Here is a 21,524-nt window from a genome sequence, read left to right as displayed (position 1 = left end):
TTAAAAGAAAATTCTAGAACAAAAACTACTGTATAAACAACAACAACAAACAACAAGGGTGGGAGGGAAACTGACTGGGAAGGGACATGAATGAACTTTCTGGGGTGACTGACAGCTTTCCAGCTTGATAAGCTTTTAGGTTACCCAGGTATATGCATTTGTTTAGCTAAGCAACTGGTTGCAGTATTTAAGATCAGCACATTTCATTGTTAGGAAATTTTACATAAAAAGAAAAAAACTATGAACAAACTGGAATTCCAGTTAATGAAATGCTTGCTGAATAAGGTATTTTTAGGGGTATGTCTCCATTTACTTTAAAATGTTTCAAAAAATAAGATGGACTGATGGATGGATGCATAGTAAAACGACATTCTTTGTAGTGGGTTATAAACATTCACTGAATAACTTTTCAACTTAGTTGTATGTTTAAAATTTTCATAATTAAAAAAGGTGAGGGAAAAAGGAAAAAAATCAGTGTTCATTCTCAATTTAAAAATTCTCAGAAAATAAATACACAACCAACCAACCAGAAAAAGTGAATTCAGTAAAGTCACAGATATGATGTCAAATTTTTTAAATCAAATGTATGTTTATATAGTAGTTGTAAACTGAAAGTGAGGTTTTAAAATTTCCATTTACCATATAATAAAAAGCCAAAATATTAGAAATAAGTTTAACAAAAATGGCAAAACATGGCTGAGACAAATTAAAGAGTACCTATAAATTGGGCGACATGCCATATTTATAAGTTGACAAATAAAATATTGTTTGTCAATTTTTCCCAAATTGATACCCAGATACAATACAATCCCAATCACAAGTCCCAAAGGCTTTTTCATGGAAACTGACAAATTTCCATGAAACTCTTAACATTTATACAGCAAATGTATAAATAGAATAGCAAAAACAATCTCATCAGAGAAGAGCAAAGTTCTTCAGCTCTCACCATACCGAAATTCAAGTCTTACTACAGTGGCTAAAATTATAAAGAAAAACGTCAGTGCTGCTAGGATGCAGGACAACAGGGACTCTCCTGCGATGCCTGTCAGAGTCAAGAGTGGCACAACTCCCCTGGAAAACCATGTGGAGCTTCTTAAACACACACCTCCCTCAGCAATTCCACTCCTAGGTATTTTTGCCAAAAGAAATTTCTGTGTTTGTCCACAGAAAGACCCACGCAAGAATGTTCATAGCCACTTTAGTCATAAGAACCAGAAACGGAATCAGCCCAGGTACCCACTGAGAGCAAAGTGGATAAACATGCTGGGTATGTTCACACAATGGAACACTGCTCACCATCCCACGACAACACAGACGAATCCAAACGTCACCATGCTCAGCAAATGAAAACAGACACGAACAAGTACATACTATATGACTGTGTTTGTATGAAATCCTAGAAGAGGCAAACCCACCTGTGGAAAGGGACATGAGAACAGTGCTTATCCATGGTGATGGGGCGATGGGAGCCCAGAGAAACTGTCAGGTGGTGAAAATGTTCTGTACCTCTAGGGAGATGGTAGTTGCACAGGTGTACACATTTGTCAAGCTCACCAACTATACACTTAAGATTTGTGCACATACTGTACGTAAGCCATATCTCATTTAACGCACCTAGCAGAAAGGAGGCTAGGCAGCGCTTAGTCTGGGATCAGTCTTAGAATGGAGAGGTGCTTCTGGCCAACAGCACCTAACACTGCAGCTGGGTTTTCAGAGAGCGTGGGGTCCTCACAGGCAGAGCTTCCCATGAGGAGCACAGAGCAACAGTTCCTGCCAGGCACACAGTGGGGAAGGCCTCGCCAACCCTAACGCCAACGCTGAACAGAAACACTGAATAACGTGCACATGTACATATAAAAAAGAAACGCTATGAAATAAAACTGACAAGCTGTAAATAAGAGGCTATGGCTTATTAACAAAACGCTCTTTCAAATCAGTAAGGCCAACACAAAGAATACCCACCAAATTCTGAGTAAGCAATTCATGAAAAAAAAATACAAATGGCCAATAAATATGAGTAACGTTTAACCTCACCAAAGTGAACCGTTTTCTGTCTGTAAGGCTTACAGAGGTGTGAAGAAACACCTTCTTTAACTGTTGAGAGTGTGTGAGTGGGAAGAATTTTAGAGGGCAACTGAACGATGAGCACCAAAAGGTTTTAAAACAATCTTACTCTGTGGTTTGGGAATGTAGCTAAGGAATGAACACAAGGAAATAACTGAATGGGGGCTCAAAAGACACGCACATGTGTACCCAGGTACAGACAGGCAGAAGGCGGGAACCAGAATGAGCAAGCAGTGGCAGGAGGTGAAATCTGCACAGCTGCGGCGCATGTGAAGGTGTCCCCTGTGCGATGTTCCTACTTGGCGGTTTCAAACCAGGCTCTCGGAGCCTATTCACAATAAAACATGTCACCACAGGAATGCTAAACTTCATTTCTGAATTTCTTCAATAATGACAGAATTGTATATTATCACATCCATTTATTCTTCAAGCAGGTGGGTAGAATTAAGGTACAGAAATTTCTGACAGTCATGTTTTCCAGTGTTAAATGTAAGTTAATGTTCTAACCAAAAACAAAGGAGAAATGCTATGATTTAAGTTATTAACAAGCGTGAATTTCTATCCATCCCATTAAAAATTGCACAGAACAGTATCATCATTATCCCAATTTTTCCTTCCCATAAGGAAACCAAATACCACAGCAATGAAATGTCTCTCAGTATATACATAAGGAAGTAGAAGAATAACATATTGTTATTCTCTTCCTCCCCAATATGAGATTGGGAATTCTATGTGCATAAAAATTAAATATACCCCTTTTGCTAAAAGTCATAGTAGTCATTATCATATCTATCCACTTTTTTTCTTACATGGCCTACCCAAATAAAAATTGATTTAAATATTTAAGAGGTTAAGCCACTTATTCATGCTAAGAAATGGGCAGTGAAAAAAAAGTTAAGCCATGTAGAAATGATACCGACAAGTCCTATTGCTAGTGTTTTGTTCTAACAAGTGCAGAATGGTGTCTGGTACAAATAAAACCACTTGCTCTTTTGTGTACTTGACAAATCACAAATTGAATCATGTCTATATATGTGTATTGTATAAACAGAACTTTTCCCACACAGCTGCTACAACTGAGAAGGAAAAACTACAAAAACATATTCATAACAACTGTATTATTCTTCAGATACCTCAAAAGATAACAAAGCATTTATTATTTCCCATTGACAACACAAACCAAAAATGTTAAACAGAAAGCTTGAAGAAGCCATAAAGAAATTCCTGTTCTGAATCGGAATCACTGCTACTATGCTTTACTGTCTGGCTTTATGAAATGGATAGAGACCAAGATGAACTGTTCAGGTACTAAAAATAGATAAACTAGGATTTTTGAGGTTAAGAATTTTCTATCTAGTTCTATTTTCATAATAAAACGGCAAAGTTAGGAACTACAGTGTTATAGGCAAGCCTTCACATATCTTAAATTATAAAAACTTTGTGGCTGGGCATGGTGGCTCATGCCTGTAATCCTAGCACTTTGGGAGGTCAAGGCGTGTGGATCACCTGAGGTCAGGAGTTTGAGACCAGCCTGACCAACATGGTGCAACCCTGTGTCTACTAAATACAAAAGATTAGCCAGGCATGGTGGTACATGCCTGTAGTCCCAGCTACTTGGGAGGGTGAGGCAAGAGAATCCTTGAACCTGGGAGGCGGAGGTTGCAGTGAGCCGAGACTGCACCACTGCACTCCAGCCTGGGCAACAAGTGTAAAAACCGTCTCAAAAACAAAACCAAAAAACTCTGCCAACGTGTTCGCTTTTAAACCTAATGTACCAACCAAAAAAAAAAAAAAAAAGCCAAATCAAAACACCAAGACATGCCAAAATTAAATGGGTATAGAATTCACCAGGCACATAGTAAGCTCTTGGTGTAAAGGTCATGACAGGTTTCACAGCTGCAGTCTGATGATCACTCACAGAGAGGGTACCTTAGTGTTGAAAAACTAAGCCCTCTGCTAACAAGAATGAGTATTTCCACCAGAGGAATAAAATCCACTCCAGAGTGAAATGCAGCAAAGCTGTTCCACAGCCCACAAAAGACTACTCAAACCACACACTGATACACTTGCGCACACATACTGAGACCAATGACAGACAGATAAAGCATTTAGGAACCAGAATACAACAGCTCTGGTCAGAAACCCAAACTGCAACTCCTGCACAGAGATCCTGGGCGATGTTATGGAGGCAGGACCTCTTCCAACCTCACGATGCAGGCTCCTAACAGCAAAACTGTCACAATGCCAATGCGGAATATTAGGGGTCAGTGGGAACTTAGGTTCCTAGAGCCGTAACATGAATATCAGAAGATGAGTGTCAGACAGACTAGGGGTACTTAGCAGTTTTTGTGAGAAAGCGCCCCTTTGTATTTCTTCTAAAGCTCATCTAGGGGAGACTATTTAGGGTGGAGAGGACACGGCCAAATATAAATTTTACAAAAAATCCCAACCCACTAGAGCGAATCACAGATGCACAGTCAATATTTGCAGGCTCCAGGTTTGACACTAGCTTGTAGGTCTGCCACGTGAGAGGCTGCAATGCTGAGACCCTTCAGTGTGTTGGAGCCTCCTAACCAGATGGATCCTAGAGAGTCTGGTTTCACTAACTGCAGTCTTCCATTATAGCAATATTTATTGAACCCCTATGACACATCAGCCCTCTTGTTTTTGCTGAGGATATAGTACGGGTTGAACAATCATAATCTGAAAATCCAAAATCCAAAATGCTCTAAAATCCAAAACTTTTTGGGGCAGCCTTGAAACCTGCCTAAAATTTGAATGCACTTCCAATCCACATTAAAATCCAACAGCAGGGAGTGGAAGCCTTATGGGCTCAAGATGTTTGTCCACAATCCCTGACCAAAACATGGCTCACAAATAAACTATGCAGCTAAAACAGTGACCCCTAGAAAGTCAGACTAAAAGAAAGGGGGACAGGGAGTGATGAAGAGAACAAAATTCAGTGCCCATTCAATGTAGAGAGGACAAGATCCCTCAACTTACACCTAGGCAAGTGACTTAAAACACACATAAACACACACTCATAAAACAACAAAACTTAAAGTAAAATCCTGAAAACAAAACACCAGGAAAAGCATGAGTCATACTCAAATTAGAACAGTCAGTGGAAACTAAGTTTGCCTAGAATTTGGGTTTAGTGGAAAAGGACTTCACATCAACTATTTTAATTGTGCTTGAAAGATTTTTTAAAACCATGTTTAATGAACTAAAGGAAAACATGACGACAATGACTCAAATAGAAAATGCCAACAAATAAAAAGCGTGTATCAAAATAAAAAAATAATAATTCTAGAGTTTAAAAATCCAATGATGGACTCAACAGTAGATTTGAAATGGCAGAAGAAAGAATCAGTGAACATTTGAGAGATCAACAGAACTTATCCAAGAGACAGAGAGAAAAAAAGATGTAAGAAAAACGAAACCTCAGAGAGTGGGGAAACAGCAACAGTGCAGACATACATGTAATGGGAATACCCTAAGGAGAGGAGAGGGGAGAGAGAAGGAACAGAAAAAGCATTTTAAGAAATAATGGCTAAAAATATTCCAAATAAAATCAAATGCAATTATGTATAGATCCAAGAAGCTCAACAAAGCCCAAATAATATAAACACAAAGAGATTCTTAGACATATATTACTTAAACTGGTGGAAGCTAAAGATAAAAATCTTAAAACCAGCAAGGAAAACAATAATTCATAATTTATACAGGAATAAAAATATATACAAATATAATGGCTGACTCTTCATCAGAAATGATGGAGGTCAGAAAGCAGAATGAATGACATACTCAAAGCACCAAAGGGAAAACAATCAATAATTCTATATTTAGCAAAACTATTCTTCAAAAATGAAGACAAGGCTAGGCACAGTGGCACACACCTCAGTGGCACACACCTGTAGTCCAAGCTACTTGGGAAGCTGAGGTAGGAGGATTGCTTGAACCTATGAGTTTGAAGTTACAGTGAGCTATGATCACACCACTGCACTCCAGCCTGTGCAAAAGATCAAGACCCCATCTCATAACAATAAATGAATAAATTATTTTTAAAAGAAAAAAGAAAAAAAATGAAAGCAAAATAAAGATATTCCCAAATAAATGAAAATCTCTTGTCAACAGAGCTGCCTGACAGAAAGCATAAAGTCCTATAGGCTGAAAGGACTCCAGACAGTAATGCAAAACCATGGGAAGAACGGTAAAGCACTGGAAATGGGAAATATGTGAGTAAATACAGAAGACTATTTGAATATTGCTTCTTCTCTTTATTTAAATGACATAACATTGTATAAAGCATTAATTACAACACTATGCACATTTAACACATTCTGTATAATAAATATGAATAAATTACCAAAAAGGAGGGGGGAGGAGATGGAGAGATACAAAGTAAAGCTGATATACTGACTAGAATTAGGGTAGTTATTAATCCCAAGCGGGCTGCGATAAATTAAAATGCATATTATAATCCCTACAGCAATCAATAAGAAAATAATTCAAATATTAAGTTTTAAAATTCAGAGAATATGGTACAGGCCAAAAAATAAAAACAAACACATTTAACTAGGAGGCAGCAGGAAAGGATAAATAAACTGACAAGAGATAAACAGAAAAACAGCAAACTGACAAACTAAAACCAACCATATCAATAACTACATTAAATGTGAAATAACTAAACACTCCTAACTAAATGCAGAAATTACTAGATCAAGGCCAGGCACGGTGGCTCACACCTGTAGTCTCAACGCCTTGGGAGGCCAAGGCGAGTGGATCACCTGAGGTCAGGAGTTTGAGACCAGCCTGGCCAACACAGTGAAACCCCATCTCTACTAAAAACACAAAAATTAGCTGGGCATGGTGGTGGGCACCTGTAGTCCCAGCTACTTGGGAGGCCGAGACAGGAGAATCGCTTGAACCCAGGAGGCAGAGGCTGCAGTGAGCCAAGATTGCACCACTGCACTCCAGCCTGGGTGACAGAGCAGGACTCCGTCTCGAAAAAAAAAAAAATAAGAAAGAAATGATCAGATCAGATTTTTTTAAAGCAACCATATGCTGTCTGCAAGAGACACATTTTAGATTCTAAGACAGAACTTGGTAAAAAGTAAAAGGATAGGAAAAAATATGACATGAAAACAATAACCATAAGAAGTGACTGTATGGGTATCAAAGAAGACTTTTAGCCAATAAATATTACTACAGACAAAGAGAAACATTTCATAATGGTAAAAGAGTCAGTATTTCAAGTATTTCAGTATTTCAAGTATTTCAGTATTTCAAGATGTAATAACTATGAATGTGTGTATGTATGATCCTCAAAATACATGAGGCAAAAACTGACAGAAATGAAATACACAATTCTACATTTATAGTTTGATATTTCAATAGCCCACTATCAATAACTGATAGACCAAAACAGAAAATCGGCAATGATATAGAAGACTTGAACACTGTCAACCAACTCATTCTGAAATTTATAGTCCATCCAACAATGGTCCTTCCAAGTGCACTCAGAACATTTACTACAAAAGACCAGAATGTAGGCCATAAAACAGGACTCCGTTATTTTAAAAAGATTTAAGATATATAAAAAGATCCTTACCTGGACACATAATAGTCAAACTACCAAAAGCTAAAGACAAGAGAAAATTGTGTTTAATGGCCATAATGGAATTAAATTAGAAATCAACAATTTTGGAAACTCTCCAAAATTTAAAAATTAAAAAAACACACTTCTAAAAAAGAAGCCATCAGTCAAAAAAGAAAATATAGGGAAAATTAGAAAGTATTTAGAATTGAATGAAAATGAAAGCAACACATGAAAATTTATGAAATGTAGCCAATGTAGTGCTTAGAGAAAATTGTAGTTTTAAACACTTATGTCATAAAAGAAGTGAAAGAACCAATAATCTAATCTTTCTATTGAAGAAATAAGAAACAGAAGGGCGAATTCAGCCCAAAGCAAGCAGAAGAGAGGAAACAATAAAGATCCAAGTATAAATCAATTCAGCAGCAGCAACAGAAAAATACTTCAAACCAAAAAATAAGTTATGTGAAAGGTTCAACAAAACTGATAAACTCTTCGCTAGAATGATCTTCCACCCAAAAAAAGAAGAGAGATGACACAAATAACCCATATCAGAAATGAAAGAGGAGACATCACTACCTACACCTGGCAGAAAGGAAGGAAACACGATATACTCTGAATAACTCTATGTCAACAAACTAAGCAATTTAGACAAAATGCAAAAATTCCTAGGAAACTATAAGTTACCAAAACTGACTCCAGAAGAAAAGGAAATCAGCAAAATCTTTTTTACCAAAAAAAAAAAAAAAACCCCACAACAACCTACAAAACAATATTCCTCATAAACACAGACATGAAAATCCCAAACCAAATTCAGCAACAGATAAATAGGATTGTGCATCATGACCAGGCAGAGTTTATCCCAAGAATTCAGAGTTGGTTTCACATCAGAGAATCAATTAATGTAATATTCCATATTAATGGATTACAGGAGAAAAACCACATAACCATCTCACTAGTCATTGACAAAGCATTTAATAAAATCCAACACCATTTCATGACCAAAACTCTCAACAAATTAGAAATAAAAGGGAACATTCTCAACTTGATAAGGAAATCTATAAAAACCCTACAGCTAATACGTACTTAATGTGAAAGACTGAAGATGTTTCCCCAAAGATCCCAGGAATGAAGTAAGGATGTTCATTCTCAGCAAGTCTGCAGATTCTTGGTAAAGAAAAAGACAAAATCTACATTGATTGGAAAGAAGTAAAACTGTCTTTATTCACAGATGGTATGATCCAGTATGCAGGAAGAAATTAAGAAATTTTTTAAAAAAACTTTTGAGAACTAATAAATGAGTTTAGCAAGGCTTGGATTTGTTTTAACATACTCCAGAAACAACAAACAAAACATTAGAAATGAAAAGGAGGTCACAGCTACAGTTACAACAAGTATTTTAAAACAAATGAACAAAAAAAGATATCTGTGAGAAATTATCGATGAAACACTAATGGCAAAATATTCTAATTGTTAATGCTAGGCGACTGATGATGGGTTCACAATTATTTGTTATACTTATTTGTGACAGAAATTTGAAGCTTTTCATGATAGCTTGAAAATAAAACCAAACTAGAGGATCAATTTAGTTCCTTTTTTTCTTCTCTCTGGAAATAATGGTGTAAAATTTTGAGAATCCATTCCCTTGACTGTTTGGTAGAATACATCCGTGAACTCTCTGGGCCTAGTATGGGGGTAGAACGCAAAGTGAGAGGGTATAGATTATTAACCCATTCATTTATTGAATGGTCTCCTACTCTTTTTTAGTCAATTTGGGTAAACTTGGTTATTTCTAGAAAACTGCTTATATTCTAAGTATTATATAGTAAGTCCTCACTGTCTTTGATAGGTTTTTGGAAACTGTGACTTTAAGCAAATTTATTTATAATACAACCATTTTTTCCCTCATCAACGTTATAATAAAATGACACTGAAGAAAATGATCTTATTCAAGGACTTGGCATTGTCTTTTCGCTTAAAGTAGCAGTTTCCAAGAACTTATTGATGACGTTAAGTGAGAACTTACTATAATATCTCATACTTGTTGGCATGCAGTTGTTTGTAGTCTTTTAAAAATACTTGCTATTCCTGTAGATGTGACCTTCTTTTCATTCCTAATGTTTTAATCTTCTTTCTTCTACTTGATAAACTGCCACTTTTAAAAAAATAAATAAATAACCACTTTTGCACTTGTATCCTCTTAACTGTATCCTTGTTTTGGAATTATTTTCTGTTCTTCTCTTTAACATTCTTAAAGAAAACAAAGAAAAACATCTCTTTTCCTTTAACTGTATTCACTCTTCTGTCTGATTTTTAACTTGGGTACTTGACCGACTCCAAAATTTTGACAACCACTCTTAATTCCGGTTTGTTTTCTTCGTTGGCCCACAAGTTATATTGAATTCAAATTTCCAAAATGCGTAAGATTAGAAATTCAGTTTCTAATCTAATAATTGTGATCAGATAACACAGTATGATATGTGTTTTTTGTTGATACTAACTGCTTTCTGGCCTAGTGTGTAAAGAAATTTGAATGTCTCTTGTATTTTAAAATAATTTATCTCCTTATTAAAGGTAAGGTTCTTTATGTCCACTTAAAACTGTAGCTGTTCAAATCTTCTGATCTTTGTAATTTCTGATCAATCTACTAGTTACTTACAGAGAAGTCATTCAACAACTGACACTGACTAGAGATCTAAAATTATGTTGGCTTTGCCTTAACTATTTTGAAACTATGCTACCGAAGGCAAACAAGTTTAAAATCACTTTATCTTCATGGAGAACTATACATTTTATCACTGTACAATGACCACCTTCATCTTCTTTCCTCCTTAAAATTATGTTTTATCCAATCTGATCATCTCTGATCTTTACCTGAAATTTAATCCTTTTTTACCTATTCGGATTACAAACACATTTTACCTGTATTTATTTTGACCATTTCATTCTATACTCTTCGTTAGAAACAAATGCTTGTTACTTGGTGCTGCAAGAAAACAGCACTCGAACATAAATTTCCTTTTCTGAGCAAGGCAATTTTTACTTCTATAGAAGGGTGTGACTCACAGATGGAGCAATGGCGAGAATAAACCTGGAAAAGGGAGGGGAAGGGGTTCTTATGCCTGATGCAGGGAGCCCCTACTGCTGTGTCATTCCCCTATTGGCTAGGGTTGGACCGCACAGTCTAAGCTAATTCCAATTGGCTATTTTAAAGACAGAAGGGGTATGAGCCCGAGTGGCGGGATGAGTAGTTTGGCGGGAAGGGAGGTTACAGAACAGGTGACCCAGGATGATTCAGGTCAGAGCCAGTGACCAGGGATGACTCAAGATGGAGCAGGTGACCAGGAGTAACTCAGGGCAGAGCAGGTGACCAGGGGTGACTCAAGATGCAGCAGGTGATGAGGGGAACAGATGTGAACTACTGATTAGAACTGGCAGGAAAGTTGTTTACTGAAACTAGAGGCAAGGGGGCAAAGAGAACCAGGAAGTTAAACTTTAAAATGGAGAATCAAAGAATAAGAGAGCTGAACACACTGACATACTGATTCTTTGAAGAGAAACTTGGAGTTCACTCTAACACTCTTGCTTTTTCTATAGTTCTTTGGCCCTTCCTTCCTATAATTTGTAATTTTCAGTTGTTATCCTTACAGCTTTAGCATGTATATTAGTTCATTTTCACGTTGCTGATAAAGACATACCTGAAACTGAGAACAAAAAGAGGTTTAATTGGATTTACAGTTCCACATGCCTAGGGAGGCCTCAGAATCATGGTGGGAGGTGAAAGGCACTTCTTATGTGATGACAGCAACAGAAAAATGAGGAAGCAGCAAAAGCAGAAACCCATGATAAACCCATCAGATCTTGTGAGACTTATTCAGTGTCACAACACAGCATGAGAAAAACCGGCCCCATGATTCAATTACCCCCTTGCCCTGGGTCCCTATCACAACACGTAGGAATTCTGGGAGATACAATTCAAGTTGAGGTTTGGGTGGGGACACAGCCAAACCATATCAGCATGCTTATCTATTAAAATCTAAAGTTATTTCCTTCCCTCCCAAATAATAAAAGGACAGGATAAAATATTATTCCTGATCACCTATCTTCTTCTTGTTGCTACAAATTTTAGTCAATAAAATGTTTCCCAATTTTATCAAAATCAGTATTACTGTTTCGTACAACTAATGTGGTTTAGACATACCTGCCATCTCCCATTTCCTTGCTCACCAATCATCTTATGCCTTTCTGAGTTCAATTTCTTTCTTTTTGAAGAATATCTTTTCATGATCTTTTTAGCAAGAGTCCACCAGTGGTAAAAATTTCAGGGCTTGTTTGAAAGTGTCCATTTCATTTTGTTTCTTGAATCATATTTTACATTAGTAAAGTATTCTAGGTTGGCAGTTACGTTCTCAGCTCCATCTTCATACTTCTATGATTACTGTGGAAATCCATAGTCAGTGTCATTACAGACCCTCAGGCGATCTCTCTTTCTCCCTCTGTGCCTTCAACATCTTCTACTTTACCTTTGAGGGTCTGTACTTTCTAATAATATATCTAGGTCTCAATTCAATTTGCTAGGGTTTTAGCGTGTTTCAACTTGAGGATCTTATCAGGGCCTCTCTCGTCTCCTGAGAAACACTAATTTTACTTAAACTGGACCTTCTCGTGCTTGAGACAAGGTCTTGGGTCCCACATAAGGAAAGGAAATGGGATACAGGTTTATTCCAATGCAGGCATTAAAAATTAAGCCAATTTGAAATCAGCTTCTGCATTAAATATGTCTCAGCTTCTGCAAGAAATATGCCTTACATGCTTATAAAAATTTGCAAAAGGATATTTATTTTCTTGATTAAACATGCTTGTAGAACAAAATGGCTTTCTAGGAGCAACTCTTCATAATTTCACACTCATGGGAAATACCATTTTGCAACTGGAACCAGCTGCATCAAAGCAAGGATCTCTTAGAGAAGAATGCCACCAAATGCAAATGTCAAACAATACCTAGTTAGCTGTTAATTCCTTTGGAAGGATCATTCTTTTTGAGTGTAAAGTGACCTTTTTTTAATTCCAAAAGAACAAGAAATTATGTGACTCGATTTTTTCTATTTTTGCCACGAAAAGCGAGGCAAAGAAGGGGAAGAGGTAGTCTTTTTAAAAATAATTTAATGATTTTGGATTCGGGGACTACATGTACAAGTTTGTTACAATGGTATAATATATAAAGCTGGGGTTTGGGCTTCTCGTGAACCCATTACTCAAACAGTGAACACGGTACCCAACAGGTAGTTTTTTCAACCTTTGATCCCTTCCCTCCCTCCCACCTTTTTGGAGTCCCCAGTGTTTACCGCTCCTATCTTTACATCCATGCGTACCCACTGTTTAGTTCCCACTTATAAGTGAAAATGTGGTATTTGATTTTCTGTTTCTGCATTAATTCACCTTGGATAATGGCCTTCAGCTGCATTGTGCTGCTGCAAAGAACATAATTTCATTCTTTTTTATGGGGGTATAGTATTCCATGGTGTATATGTACCACATTTTCTTTATCCAGTACACTGTTGATAGGCACTTAAGTAGATTCCATGATTTTGCTATTGTGAACAGTGCTGCAATAAACATACATGTGCAGGTGTCTTTTTGACAGAACGATTTCTTTTTCTTTAGGTAGATACCCAGTAGAGGGATTGCTGGGTCAAATGACAGTTCTAATTTTAGTTCTTTGAGAAAGGGAAGAGATATTCTTAACCAAGTGGACCACCTGGAAAATTACTGCCATAGAGTTTCTCTTTGAAGCTATAAATGAGGAAATAGTCTAGGAATTACAAACTAAGTATAAGCAAATTAATTAACTGTTCTAAAGTGTTTTATGTGAAAATGTTGTAGACCTAGCACACTAATAGCTATAGTGGGCATTCACATTAACTTAACAGCCCCCAAAGGTAGGGAGCTTTGAGATCATTGTTTATTAGATCATGTTTACAGCTCTTTCAGAGGTTACTTTTAGGGAATACTCTTTTAATAAATATCACAATATTTATTATTTACTATGGGTTTTATGTTTATAAGGCTCAGGTAAAAATTACTCTCCACAAAAGAAAGTTGTAGGGTGAGCTGTCACCAGGCAGAGCTGATGGCCACGTCATGGGCTTAAAGCCTACTTTATAGGCTTAAGCCATGGTCAGAATTAACTCATCCCACCCCCTCAAAAAAGAACGAAAATATCTCCAGTGAAACAGCAGCACTTTCCTCTCTCTTTTTCAAACAAATATTTATTTCAAAGCTAAAACCTACAGACTATGCCAGGGGATCAGGGGCGATTACAGGGAAGGAGGTGACTTGTTACTTTTCATTCTAGGGTGTTTTGTTTATTTACGTAGGACGTTAAAACAGCAACAGAACCTGGCACACACAGAGACCTGCACAGTACCCGCAAGAGCAAGATATCCAGGAGTCTGACAGTTCTTTTTGTTTCTGGTTTCTGGGGAGTAGGGGTCGGGGAGGAGGCAGGGTCCCTTTACTTCCTGTTTAGGACCAGGGCTATGAATTTATAAAAATGACTATGTGATTGAATGGGGAATGTACACTTTGTACTGGATGCTGGATTTTAAGGAGATGGTCATGGGTCTTTGTAACTTAACCAGATCCATGCGCATCATAACCCAGGTGCTTTAAAGGCTTGCTGAGTGGAGAAGTCAAACTGCCTAAGGACAAACAACAAGCAGGAAGTCACTCTGTATCAAGCACATGTAAAGAGACAGATACAGTACTGCGCAATGGCAACAAACTGGATCATGTGACAGCTTCCAAGGGCATCAAGAAGAACAGCTTTTAAAATCTACTCTCTTTAAGGAGCAATCCCATGAAGTTAAGATAACTTCAACATAGGAAAATATTGTGACAGCTTTACTCATGAAAACATAGCCTTAGACATCATATTAGACGTGGACTATGTCTTAGGATTCAGGTTTCCATTTCCTGTCCTACAGTCTCTTCCCCCTACTTCTTGAGAAAAGGCAGACCATGATTTACTGGCCCTCTTGGCCCTCAAAAAACATCTGATGCGGGGAAGTGGAGCTCAAACATGGCCAAGGACAGCATCTCTGGCTCTATTATCTGGGTGACCACAAAAGCCACTTAGGGGCAGATGACACTCCAACCTTCAATAAGAAGTCCTGGGGCCACCTCCTCCCCAGCCACCAGCCTGGCCCTGAGACAACTTATGCCCACAGTTAACGACTCCATTTGCACTTAGTGCCTTTCAGGCCTGGGTGCACACCCCAGAGAATGGTAACCTAGGCATCACCGTATACGCCATACACATAGCCAGAAAGGACACAGATAGGCTTCCCATTTTGCTCATAGCATCACATTTTTTCATTGATATTTATGTTTTAACTCTTCTATATTTTTAGATCCTCTGCATCAAATAAGTAACTGCCGTTAATGAACTAGTCTCACTTTCTATACTGTCTTGATTATTGATGTGATGGTTAATCCCGAATGTCAACTTGATTGGAATGAAGGATACAAAATATTAATCTTGGGTGTGTCTGGGTGGGTGTGGCCAAAACAGATAAACATTTGAGTCAGTGGGCTAGGGAAGGCAGATCTACCCTTCATCTGGTGGGCACAATCTAATCAGCTGCCAGTGAATATAAAGTGGCAGAAAAACGTGAAAAGGAGAGACAGGCCTAGCCTCCCAGCCTACATCTTTCTCCATGCTGGATGTTTCCTGCCCTTGAACATCGGACTCCAAGTTCTTCAGTTTGGGGACTCAGAATGGCTCTTGGCTTCTTGCTTCTCATGCAGACTGGCTATTGCGGGACCTTGTGATTGTGTAAGTTAATACTTAATAAACTCCTATATATATTATTTATATATTATATAATATACATAATATGATACAAAATATAATATATATGATATATATGTATATTATACATAATATACAAAATATATATAATAATATGTAATATATACATGATATACAATATACATTATATATATATTTTTTATATATATATATTTCCTATTAGTTCTGTCCCTCTAAGAGAACCCTAATATAATTGCTAACAAGCTCCCCAACTGGAGACTCACTTCCCATATGCTAGCACCTGCATGCTACACTATCAGGAGCTTCACCATAGTAGTTAGGAGAATGGGGAGGGAAAGAAGGGGGGAGTGAGGGGAATATGGATGGCAAGAACCGGTGGTAACAATCATATGCATTACACACGTAACGAAACGTTAACACTAAAGTCACAGTTCAAAAGTTTTTCTTTTGCTGGAAGTATAAACTTGTTCTTACGATCCTTATGAACTGGCTGGGCGTGGTGGCTCACGTCTGTAATTCCAGCACTTTGGGAGGCCGAGGCGGGCGGATCACGAGGTCAGGAGATCGAGACCATCCTGGCTAACACGGTGAAACCCTGTCTCTACTAAAAATACAAAAAATTAGCTGGGGGTAGTGGCGGGCGCCTGTGGTCCCAGCTACTTGGGAGACTGAGGCAGGAGAATGGCGTGAACACAGGAGGCGGAGCTTGCAGTGAGCCGAGATTGCGCCACTGCACTCCAGCCTGGGTGACAGAGCGAGACTCCATCTCCAAAAAAAAAAAGAAAAAAAAAGACAAAAAAAGATCCTTATGAACTGTGTTTGTGTTGGCAAAAGTCATCCCACTAGTCTAGCCACGAGGCAGCCACTCAGAGCTGTCTGCCTGCAGTCAGGTGAGGTGTTCAGAGAAAACCAGCACAGGGAGCCAGGAGAGCTGGTGCTGGCAAACAGATGCCCTTATTCACCAAACATCTAAGTTAGAAAGCATTCTGTAAACGGGGTATCTCAAGACAGAATTATCTCCTAAGTAAGGCAGAGTCCCTAAAACTTTAGCAAGTGTGCAGAACTAGCACTCATCAAAATAATCTAATTACCTAAGGACAGAATCCACAGTCAAAATCCCCTTTCCTGGGACAGTCAAAGGCAAGGCTGCCACCCTTAAATTGTGCTTTCCTTACAGAGGGAGTGAGTGTGGTAGCGCTCTGGAGACCACCGTTGGCTCTGCCAGGGGACCGTGGCAGGGACATAACTCCATCCACTTCTTCTTCTGTGATGCAAGGGCAACCAACTCAGGACTGAGAAGGTTTAAGCAAGGCACCCCGGGCAGCTGACCTACCTACACAATGGCAAGTAATCCGCAATGACCATTACTGGAAAAAAAAAAGACTACAAGTAGAAGCACACAGCTCACAGACTTGAGCTCACACTAGAAAGAAAATGTCACTGTCTGTTGTAATCCAAGGATAGGTTTGTTCCACAGAACATGTCTCTGCTGTGTGACTCACTGAAAATATCACAAAATAGAGAGCATGAAGGAAAGCTTAGTAAAAGAACTGCCAGCCACCAAACCAACAATAAAACCTTCCCATGAAAAAGGCTTTTAAAGAAATAACAAATCAGTAAAATGTGTACAAATGATTCTAGCTCTAGGACTACTCTAAAAGCACGTATACTCTCACAAACCCATCAGTCATGAACCAGCCCAGAATGAGCAGAGACCCCTGCAGGTAGCTGACATTTAACCTGGGTAACATTGGCCCAGTGTTTATGTGGCAACCACTGTTTTAAGCTCTTTACCTCTGTTAACTCATTTAATTCCTGCAAAACCCTATGAAAGATATCATTTCTGTCTTCCCCTTTTTCCAGAGGAGGAACTGGGGCACAGAGGTTAAGTCACTCTGTCAAGGGAGCAGTAACTGGAAGAGCTGGATTCAAACTCACACAGTCTAATAGTCTAATTCAAGTCTACACTCTCCACCTTCAAGCTGACAGCCTTAAATTGCAAGTCTGTACATAAATACTGCAAGATTTGCAGCATATCCTTGAATTTAAAACCAAACAAAAGGCAGGTCACAGGACAAGATGAATAAGCATGCCAGCCAAGAGGGATTGCCCAGACAGGCTGGCCAGGGTGGCGCTCGATCCCGTGGCTGGGGCTGTGTGGCTCTGGGCAGGTTCCTTAAGCTCCGTGAGCTCTGGTTTGCTCATCCAGGTGACTGGACGGCTGGACAATAGCAGTGCTGACCCTCAGAGGGCTGCTGTGACAAGTAGTGGAAGTGTTTGGGTGTGAAACATTTTAGTGCCTGACACCTGCCAGGACTGTGTTTGTGTTCGCCATTATTACATGTCAGTAAGATAATAACCTAGAAGAATAATCAAATCAAACGGTGGTTTAGTACTGAGTCTTAGATTTTTCCGAGTTTCCCTTCCTCTTTACTACTTGAATTTTTCTAGGAAAATATGTGGGTTTTTTAAATACAACCAAAAAAATCTTTTTAAAGCCTCACTCTGGACAAGAAGTATATTTTAAGATAAAAGGAAATGAAAGAAAGTGGATGAACAAGGCTCCTAGTTGAACTTCTTGCATTCAGAAATAAGCACAATTTTGAAGGGCAAGGAAAATAAGTGAAGGAGGCAGAGCCTTGAACTAGTGCGATACAGAAGCTTAAGTCAATGGGACAAGATGGGGCGGGGGCGGGTAGAAAAACCTTTAGGCTGAAAGGATACAATCCAACTTGGCAAATCCACGTCTTTAAATCACTATTTCAGCAAAGAGGTGGTTTTTCTTCTTAACAGGCATAATGAGAAGTGAGTATGGGCAAAAGCTGACTTAATTTCTTCAGCAAGGGTTCAAGGAACACAGCAATCATCAGATAATTCCCTGTAAAGTTAAATGGAAGACCTGGGACACATCTTAATTCAACAGAGCTTTCTGAGAAGCGCATGGCAAGAAACAATATTCTTATGTCCAATGACAGATTGTATTGAAACAGACAGAAGAGATCCATGAACAGGTGGTACTGTGAGCACAGGTCATGCCCTGGAGACCTGCCTATCAGGAGACTTTTAGAAAGCATCCACACACACCAAACCGGCAACAAATAGTCCTCAACGATCTACCTGTTCTGAAGGGACTTCAAAGGCCTACAAAGCTACAAAGAAGACCTTAAGTTTGCTAAAGGGTGAGTTACCAGAAAAAGGCAGAGTCTAGTAAGAGTCTCTTAGACTTATTTCTCAAGAATTTCAGCATATTTTGCCCCACGAAGGGAAGTCCTCCCCTAGAGCAACATTTGCAACTACCCTTAAATTCGATGTTTACTCTCGTGTATATAAAAACGCATTGTTATTAATGTAAAACTTTTCACCAGAAATTTGGGTAATTCTGAAATACTTTTGGGAAGGGTGTCTCAATGCAAAACTTCATTTTTTTTAAGTTCTGGCGATGTTTGGTGGTGATGGTTGATTATCAGTGTGAATGTATTTAATGCCAGTGAACTGTACACAGAAAATGGTTAAAATGGCAAACTTTGTCACGTATATTTCACCAATTAAAAAACTCAATTTTTACAATGAAAAAAGCCTGTGTTTTTCTAATTGTAAAAGGCCACAAACTATAACACTGAACCACGCATGACCACTGAAAGATGAAGGCAAGTTGCCTTTCTCTTAAGTTGGCTTCTCTCACCTCTGTGGACTTCCCCCGGCTGGCTGAGAAAGGAACTGCCAGGAATTCAGCCCCACATTAAAAATCATATGAGACAGTGATGGACAAAAATATCCAGACTATACTTACCAGGTCAGGTTAGAGTTTCTCTTTCAAATTAGTGAGGAAATGTGCAAAAATTGTTAACTAATGATTCTATTATCTTCTTGACTTTTCCAATGAGGTGTAAAAGGCTTCACAAAGTTCTACCTGCCCCAAGTTGAGATCCTGAAGTTCCCCCCAGGCCCCAAGCTACTCCATCTCAGTCTTCCCCATCAGAGTTCTGGGCTGGGGCCATCCTGGGCTCTCTTCTTTCTTTCCCACCCAGGTTCAGTCTTTCCAGAATTCATGCATTTCTCGCTCTTCCCGCTGCCATCCCTCAGGACCACACCACCATTGTTCTGGCCCCGACTGTCGCAACAGCGTCCTCACAGCTGTTCCCCTGCTTCTACCCTGCCACCCTCAGGCTGCCTGGCACAACCAAAAGGTCCCATGGACATGTGTGGACTGCCCTTCTGGCCCCTTGTCCCCTTCCCTCCTCGCCAGACACGACTGGGCTCTGTCTCATTCAGGGACTGTGCACTTCCATGGCCTCTGCCTACAAAGTCCTGTCTGCAATTATCTATCCGGCCGACCTCTTCACTTCACTCAGGAAAGGTCGCTTTTTCAGTGACACCAACAACCCAGCGATCCAAGCTAAAATTTCAAACCTTATCCCAATTCTTCATACCCCACTCTCTGCTTTATTTTTTCTCCTTATGATTTATCACAGTCTGACATATTTTATGATCTCATGTGATGCCCCTCTCCTCTACTAGAAGGCTGGAACTTTTGTTTGTTTTGTTCACTGCTATACCCTGGTGTTTTTAGATACCTGTGCTGTGACCACAAAGGAGGCACATTTGCTGAGCATGTGAGATCTCTATAATCTATATGAATGTGGGCCAGATCATAACACTTTTAATGTGTCAGAAGTTGATTTGCAATTCTTCTTTTCTAACTGCCTGGGGTATGCATTTAGCCAGAATCAACCTTGGCAACAAATGGACAATGAGCATAAGAACTACGTCCGAGCATGAGATGCCCAGTACTGAGCTTGGCCGTGACAAGGCAAGGGTTCTAAAGTCTACCCACTCTGCATAGTGAGAGCTACATTTTTCTAACTGCAGGTGGAGACCCCTTAGTGTGTCATAAAATCATTTCATAAAACGAGCCAGAACAGAACAGTGTGTGTTGCCCATAGTCAGGTTAGTATTCTATGAAGCTTTTCATCTTATATGCTTACGTGTAGATTGTGATGTAAACTACATTTTCAACTGTGGGCTACAGTCCAGAAAACTTTTTGAGATAAAAGATCCACAAATAACTTTCAGATGAATTTGTGATTCCCCTGGTCCTTCCACCAAATGGAAAAAAACTGTGTGAAAAATCGTGGGTGCATGTGTGCAACTTTCTAGGTTGAGAATCTATGCCTTCTTGGCACATTCCAGAAGGGACCCTGGGCTTAAATAGGTTAAAAACTGCTGATAAAAATTAGCTGGGTGGTGGCATGCACCTGTAATCCCGGCTACTCCAGAGGATGAGGTGGGAGGGTCCCTTGAGCCCAGGAGTTCGAGGCTGCAGTGAGCTCTGATCATGACACTGTGATCACAACACTGCACTCTAGCCTGGGTGACAGAGCAAGACCTCATCTCTAAAAAAATTAAAATTTTAAACTGTTTGATGGGAGGATATTAATAGAGAAAAGGGTCAATTATCTTTCATTTTACTTCAAAGGGTTAAATACTGGGCTTTCATTGGTTCTCTTTTTAGAATCCATTGCAGATCTATTAATTTAAATAAACCATCCTCCAATCTATCTATATAGTCAATCTAAAATCCTAAGCGTATTATCCAGGAAATAATTATTTCTCTCATTTTATCCTAAAGCAACCTTGTCTAGACATAGACTATTTCTAGAATTCCAACACTTGATAAGAAAGCTCATATTGACCCTATTCATATATTTCATAATTATAACCGGATCGGGTTGAACTCCGACCTTAGCCCTGACTCTCAACATGAGTCTTGGCTGACAATTATCAGGGGCCTCTGTAGACTTCTTCCTTTAATCTTACCTAACTCTTTACACTTCTAAGGCAAGTGGCCAAAAGAGGACAGGCCAAACCTAAATCGGTGTGTGGTGCTTCATGTACACCCCTGGGGTGGCTGGTTTTTGTTTCGACGTCACCCTGGGGGCTGACTCCTGGAACCTAGCCTTCCTTGTGCTGCCACTGATGTGTGACAACTTACCTGCTAGGTGTGTGTGCCCTCAACGGCACATGCTT

At 39.0% G+C, this 21,524-nt stretch overlaps 1 protein-coding gene across 6 annotated transcripts in view, besides 1 other annotated feature; it reads right to left on the bottom strand.

The window, feature by feature from the left end:
• Nucleotides 1-21,524, bottom strand: part of CDYL (chromodomain Y like) — a 249,407-nt gene that overhangs the window by 79,359 nt on the left and 148,524 nt on the right. The window contains exon 1 of one of the 6 annotated variants that reach the window (XM_047419563.1): nucleotides 8,750-8,773. The exons of the other annotated variants lie outside the window; for them this stretch is intronic. The gene's annotated coding sequence lies outside the window, so the exon portion shown is untranslated. Of the gene's footprint in view, nucleotides 1-8,749; nucleotides 8,774-21,524 lie in introns of those variants that run through there. 6 annotated transcript variants of the gene reach the window in all.
• Nucleotides 10,530-11,729: an enhancer, noted in NCBI's record as "P300/CBP strongly-dependent group 1 enhancer chr6:4864691-4865890 (GRCh37/hg19 assembly coordinates)". NCBI's record gives its function as "activates an origin of replication core promoter dependent on BRD2, BRD4, P300/CBP, MED14 and CDK7 cofactors, with strong dependence on P300/CBP, by STARR-seq in HCT116 cells {active_cell/tissue: HCT116}" and the evidence as "EXISTENCE:reporter gene assay evidence [ECO:0000049][PMID:35650434]".

This window comes from Homo sapiens, chromosome 6, assembly GCF_000001405.40.
Source record: "Homo sapiens chromosome 6, GRCh38.p14 Primary Assembly".
NCBI classification, from domain to species: Eukaryota; Metazoa; Chordata; class Mammalia; order Primates; family Hominidae; genus Homo; species Homo sapiens.
The sequence above is the reverse complement of the archived record's forward strand: the minus strand, read 5'-3'. Positions and strand labels throughout refer to the sequence as shown.